Source organism: Homo sapiens, chromosome 20 (assembly GCF_000001405.40).
Source record: "Homo sapiens chromosome 20, GRCh38.p14 Primary Assembly".
Taxonomy (NCBI): domain Eukaryota; kingdom Metazoa; phylum Chordata; class Mammalia; order Primates; family Hominidae; genus Homo; species Homo sapiens.
The window spans coordinates 2,828,055-2,835,313 of NC_000020.11; the positions used below are offsets into that span (position 1 = coordinate 2,828,055).

At 41.7% G+C, this 7,259-nt stretch overlaps 1 annotated feature.

Moving 5' to 3' along the window:
- Positions 3,914-4,414: an enhancer, noted in NCBI's record as "H3K4me1 hESC enhancer chr20:2812614-2813114 (GRCh37/hg19 assembly coordinates)". NCBI's record gives its function as "activates a minimal SCP1, AML or CMV promoter by ChIP-STARR-seq in naive H9 embryonic stem cells {active_cell/tissue: H9 hESC(naive)}" and the evidence as "EXISTENCE:reporter gene assay evidence [ECO:0000049][PMID:30033119]".

Below are 7,259 nucleotides of genomic sequence, written 5' to 3' on the forward strand. Positions count from 1 at the left end.
CATCACCTTGGAGGAGGTCAGGAGTCCAAGATCAGCCTGGCCAACATGGTGAAACCCTGTCTCTACTAAAAATACAAAAATTAGCCAGGTGTAGTGGCGTGTGCCTGTAATTCCAACTACTCAGGAGGCTGAGGCAGGAGAATCGCTTGAGCCCAGGAGGCGGAGGTTGCAGTGAGCCGAGATCGCACCATTGCACTCTAGCCTGGGAGACAAGAGCGAAACTCTGTCTCAAAAAAAAAAAAAGAACCAAGTTGAAGGACTAACACTTCCCAATGTCAAGATTTCATCAAGGTACAATCAAAAGAGTGTGGTATTGGTATAAGGACAGACAAATAGACCAGTGGAACACAGTAGAGTCCAGAATTAGATCCACACATATATGAACAAGTGAGTCTCAATGCAAGTGCAAATGTAATTTAGCGGAGAAAGAATAGTCTTCAACCAATGGTGCTGAACCATTGTATATTCACATAAAAATGAATTTCAATTTATACTTCACACCATAAACAAAAAATTAACTCAAATTTGATCATAGACCTAAATGTAAAACCAAAAACTATAACCCTTCTAAGAGAAAACATAGAAAACAAATAGTTGTAACCTTGCATTAGGAAAATATTTCTTAGATATGACACCAAAAGCACAATCCATAAAAGAAAAACTTGATTAACTGTACTTTATCAAAATTAAAAACTTCTGTTCTTGAAAAGACACTGTTAAGAAAAAAAGAAGACAAGCCACAGATTGGAAGAAAGTATTTTCAGATCATATCTGATAAAATACTTGTATCCAGAATAAAGAACTCTCAAAGTCCAATATGTAAAAAGGGGGATAGAGGGAAAGAGAGAGAAAAATGTGAAAACCTACTTAACAGAAGAAGATATATAGGTGAAAAATAAGCATATGAAAAGGTGTTCAACATAATTGGTTATTAGAAAAATGTGAACTAAAACCATAATGGAGATACCACTACCCATCTATTGGAATGGCTAATATTAAAAAGACTGATCATACCAAGTACTGGCAAGGATGTGGAGGAATTGCAACTCTCATTGTTGGTGGGAATGTAAAATTGTACAACTACTTTTGAAAAATTGTTTGGCAGTTTCTTAAAATGTTAAACATACACCTACCATATAATCTAGCCATTTCATTCTTAGGTAAAAATGAAAACATATATCCATACAAAGACTTGTATATAAATGTTCATAGCAGCTTTACTTATAATAGTCAGAAGCTGAAGATAACTCAAATGTCCATCAATAGGTGAATGGAGAAATGTTGATATATCATTACAACTGAATACTAGTCAGCTATAAAAAGGAATAAATTGTTGATACAACATGGATGAATTTCCAGTTGTTCCATTAATCCCATTCATTAGGATGAGTGAAAGACGCCAGATGAAAAAAAGAGTATCCATAAGCAGGAGTTGAACAATGAGAACACATGGACACCAGGAGGCAAACAACACACACCAGGGCCAGTCAGGAGGTGGGTGGCGAGGGGAAGGAGAGCATTAGGACAAATAGCTAATGCGTGCGGGGCTCAACACCTAGATGACCAGTTGATAGGTATAGCAAACCACCGTGGTGCACGTATACCTAGGTAACAAGCCTGTATGTTCTGCACTTGTATCCTGGAACTTAAAGTAAAATAATAATAATAATAATAATAAAGAAAGAAAAAAGTATCTATTGAAAGATTCCATCCATATAAAATTCTAGAAAATACAAACTGATCTATAGTAACAGAAAGCAGTAAGTACCCATGATTGCTTGGGGACAGGAGCAGGGGGATATGAGGAAGCTATGGGGAGGAATGAGAGGGAGGAATTATAAAGAGGTAGAAGAATAAATTTCATTATCTTAATTGTGATGATTTCATAGATGTATATATATATCTACTTGTATGTGAAGTCTATTACATGTCAATCCCACTTCAGTAAAAAAGGTTTTTGTTTTGTTTTTTAGAGACAGGGTCTCATTTTGTCACCCAGGCTGGAGTGCAGTGGTGGAATCATGGGTCACCACAGCCTCAAACTTCTGGGCTCAAGTGGTCCTCCTAAGTGATCCTCCTGTTTCAGCCTCCCATGTAGCTGGGACTATAGGCATCCACCACTACATCTAGAGAATTTTTTATTTTTTGTAGAGTCGAAGGTGGGGAGAGGTGTCACTTTGTTGCCCAGACTGGTCTCAAACTTCTGCCTTCAAGTGATCCGCCCACTTCAGCCTTCCAAAGCGCTGAGTTTACAGGTGTCAGCCACCACATCTGGCTGAGCAGGTTTTGCTTTGTTTTGTTTTGTTTTGTTTTTTGAGAGGAGTCTCGCTCTGTCACCCAGGCTGGAGTGCAGTGGTGCAATCTTGGTTCACTGCAAGCTCCGCCTCCTGGGTTCACCCCATTCTCCTGCCTCAGCCTCCCGAGTAGCTGGGACTATTACAGGTGCCCACCACCACGCCTGGCTAATTTTTTGTATTTTTTACTAGAGACAGGGTTTCACTGCGTTAGCCAGGATGGTCTCAATCTCCTGACCCCATGATCCGCCTGCCTCAGCCTCCCAAAGTGCTGGGATTACAGGTGTGAGCCACCATGCCTGGCCCAAGCAGGTTTTTTTTTTTTTTAAAGAATAGGCTCATTTCCTTGCAATCAGAGTTTATCTTTCACTGATGTACCTGTTTAGATATACTTCAATACTGTACTGAACACAGAACCTAGGCAGGGAACTGGGTAATGCAACAGAAGGCAAGTTATCTACTTTTGCTGGGAAACTTCCGATATTATTATTATTAATATTATTATTATTATTATTTTGAGATGGAGTTTCACTCTTGTCGTCCAGACTGGAGTGCAGGGGCGTGATCTTGGCTCACTGCAGCCTCCATCATCCGGGCTCAAGTGATTCTCCTGCCTCAGCCTCCCAAGTAGCTGGGATTACAGGTGTGTGCCACCACACCCGGATAATTTTTGTATTTTTAGTAGAGACAGGGTTTCATCATGTTGGCCAGGATGGTCTCAAACTCCTGACCTCAAGTGATCCACCTGCCTCAGGCTCCCAAAGTGCTGGGATTACAGGTGTGAGCCACTGCGCCTGGCCAAGTTTTACTTTTTTTTTTTTTTGAGATGGAATCTTGCTCTGTTGCCCAGGCTGGGGTGCAGTGGCACGATCTTGGCTCACTGCAACCTCTGTCTCCCAGATTCAAGCAGTTCTCCTGCCTCAGCCTCCTGAGTAGCTAGGATTACAGACATGCGCCACCACGCCTGGCTAATTTTTTTTGTTGTTCTTGGGGTTTTTTTTTTTCTTTTGAGACGGAGTTTTGCTCTTGTTGTCCAGGCTGGAGTGCAGTGCAGTGGCGTGGTCTCAGCTCACTGCAACCTCTGCCTCCCTGGCTCATGTGATTTTCCTACCTCAGCCTTCCAAGTAGCTGGGATTACAGGCATGAACCACCATGCCTGGCTTTTTTTTTTTTTTTTTTTTTTTTCTGAGACAGAGTTTCGCTCTTGTTGCCCAGACTGGAGTGTAGCGCCATGATATTGGCTCACTGCAACCTCTGCCTCCCGGCTCAAGCGATTCTTCTACCTCAGCCTCCCGAGTAGCTTGGCATTACAGGTATGCGCCATCACATCTGGCTAATTTTTGTATCTTTAGTAGAGACGGGGTTTCACCATGTTGGTTGGGCTGGTCGCAAACTCCTGACCTCAAGTGATCTGCCCGCCTTGGCCTACAGGGGTGAGCCACTGCGCCTGGCTGAAGTTTTACTTTTCTTAAAGAGAATTTTTTTTTTCCTGGAAAATAAGTGCTGACATCACAACTGAAGTGCTCATGCATCTTTTACTCCTTTCAGGAATACCTTGGTATGGCAAATGAATGGACACAGAGTCCATTCTTTAAAACCAATTCCATGAATGAGAGGAAGTCAATGTAAGATTGTCTTCTTAAATGATCTGTCAATGGTCAAATGTGAATGGTTTTTGAGACAATGAAGTTTGAGTTCTCTCTTGCTTAACTAGCAAATAGTGGGCCTACATACCAGGGCAACTTAAGATTTCCATTATTTTCACATCTCAAAAAAAAAAAAAGGAAAAAAAAGGGAAACGATTTAAATGTAAGTGATGACTCATATAAGTGATGACTCATATAAGGCTATTTGTAAGTTTCTTGCTTCCCAGTCGGGACTGAATAAAATCTACAACAGATGAGTCAAATTTTTAAGCTTTTTGTACCATATGCTTATATGACAACAAACTGAGAAACATTTACCTCCTTTATTCTATTCTTTTTTTTTTTTGAGACGGAGTCTCACTTCTGTTGCCCAGGCTGGAGTGCAGCAGTGCGATCTTGGCTCACTGCAAGCTCCGCCTCCCGGGTTCACGCCATTCTCCTGCCTTAGCCTCCTGAATAGCTGGGACTACAGGCGCCCGCCACCACACCTGGCTAATTTTTTGTATTTTTAGTAGAGACGGGGTTTCACGTGTTAGCCAGGATGGTCTCGAACTCCTGACCTCATGATCTGCCTGCCTCGGCCTCCCAAAGTGCTGGGATTACAGGCATGAGCCACCACGCCCGGCCCCTTTATTCTATTCTTATGATAAATTTCAAGTTTAAAGAGATTAAGCTATTTCCATAAATTTTAAAGGAATGTAAGAAAGTTTTAAGGACAAAGGTGTTGGGACATTGCAGTAAAGGTTATGAAACCTCACCGTGGGCCATGCCAGCCACATAGAAAAATGGGTTGGAAATTAAAAATATGGAGGTAGGGCCAAGCATGGTGGCTCACACCTATAATCCTAGCACTTTGGGAGGCTGAGGCAGGCAGATCACTTAAGCCCAGGAGTTCGTGACAAGCCTGGGCAACATTGTGACACCCCATCTCTACCAATCAATCATTCAATCAATAAGCTAGGCATGGTGGTGTGTGCCTGTAGTCCCAACTATTTGGGAAGCTGAGGTTGGGAGGATCACTTAATCCTGGGAGGCGGAAGTTGCAGTGAGCTGTGATGGCACCACTGCATTCCAGCCTGGACAACAGATACCTTGTCTCTCTATGCGTATGTGTGTGTATATATATGTATTTTTATACATTATATTTATATAAACATAATGTATTTCTATAATAAATATATATATTTATAAATTATATTCATATGTATATATTTTTATATATACATATAGTATACATAATATATATATGTATATATATAAATACATATGTATGGCAGTAGAATGAAGGGGATATTGAGCACATTTGAGGAGTCTCCAGGTTTCTTAGTGTGAAAGCTCCAGAACTGGGATGGGATTTGAAGCAAGTGAAAAAGGCTTGGCTTGGCTCAGTAGGGAAGGTGACAGGATTCCTGGAGAACAGGATGGAAAACAACAGAGATCTCACTGAGGCTGCGTCACTCAAATTACTTTTTCCTGCAAATCAATCCAGGTGTACAGTTTTCTCCAGCAATATCAGGAAGCCCCAGAATCAGAGGCACAAAGGTGTCTGAAGAGAGAAAAGTGTTTTGAGAAGGAAAGGCAGAGTGACAAGGGGTTGGGCAAACTGGATACAGCTGAAGACGGCTGCCCCAAGGATGGGTTTTTGTTAAAGAAAAGAAAAAAATCAATTTGGGGGCTGAGCACAGTGGCTCACATGTGTTGTCCCAGCACTTTGGGAAGTCAAGGTGGGAGGATTGCTTGAGGTTAGGAGTTCAAGGCCAGTCTGGGCAACATATAAAGACCTTGTTTTTATATTTTAAAAAAAAGTGAAAAAATAAATTTAAAAAATCAAATGTTGCAAATAATGATTAAAAATCTTATCTCACAAGAAGCTTTCCTTCATTTTTGTATGTCCCTTCTCCTTTTTGTTTATACCAGAGAAAGCTGAACTTAAAAGTTTCAGAACTGTGCTGACGCTTTTGTACACTGTCTCATTTGGTTCCTCTAAAGGGTTTTATTAAGTCACATTGTCTGTGTCAGTTTCCAGCACCAGTGTATTGATTCATTAGCTTCCCTTCATTTGCATTTAGTCTAGTAGATGGCTAGCAAGGATCAACACTTTTCTGGTCTGCTATTTCCATCTCCTTTTGTGTGAGATGTTATGTCCTTCAACAAGGTAAAATTTCATTAATAAGTATGGAAAGTTAATACAAGAATTCTGCATCCTTCTCTTCTATCCATTCTAATTCAAAATTATTTACGGGGTCTTCATGTTACCTTATATTTCTGCCCTCACATCACTTATCAGTCCACTGCCATGCTCCATCCCTCACACCACCCCACATTTTAGTTCACACTCCACTACTGACGTTCTTTGTACAGTCATGAACCTAGGATCAAGACTACCTGTTAAAGCTGAAATCCTATACCTCCCTGCTTTCAACTTCTGCATGGAGCTTAAAACAGTGTCTCTACCACCACCCCTATCCTGGCACCCACCTTGGATTTTGTCTCCCTCAGCTCCTTTTTTGTCTCACCACCAGCACCAAAGCGGTTGGTCTGTGTTCTCTTTCCTTCCACTGCACATCTCATCAATCAAGTTAGAAGTTTCGAATAGAGGCCGGGCGCAGTGGCTCACCCCTGTAATCCCAGCGCTTTGGGAGGCTGAGGTGGGCGCATCACGAGGTCAAGAGATCTACCTCATCCTGGCCAACATGGTGAAATCTCTTCTCTACTAAAAATACAAAAACTAGCTAGGTGTGGTGGTGTGCGCCTGTAGTCACAGCTACTTGGGAGGCTGAGGCAGGAGAATTGCTTGAACCCGGGAGACAGAGGTTGCAGTGAGTGAACTCCAGCCTGAGTGAGACTCCATCTCAAAAATAAAAAAAAGAAGAAGTTTCGAATACGTCTCCCACTTGGGTTTGGGAGCTTCTAGTTTCATTCCAACCACTTACTGTGTGTCCACTATGTGCCAAGAATTATGCAAGATAAGTTTATGCATCTTCGTATCTTTGGAGGTAGATGAATAACGAATATACACATGAATGCATGAGACCGGGAGGTATAGGTAAGAACTAGCCAGACCCAAAATTCCAGACAAAATATTAACAATTTCCACTTAGCCCTTGATTTTTCCCCAAGGTGCTGACAATAGGGGACCCCTCCAGGATCTCTGTTAAATACACATGTTCTGGTGAGGGTAGAATTAAGTATGAGACAGGAGGGCACATTCAATGATTTCTAAATAGTGTGGGGTCAAAGGCCCCACGTTGGACAAAGCCCAGAGGCAACCTCCCCCAATCTTAAGATCATGGTTTGGGATACCCACTGCACACAGGAA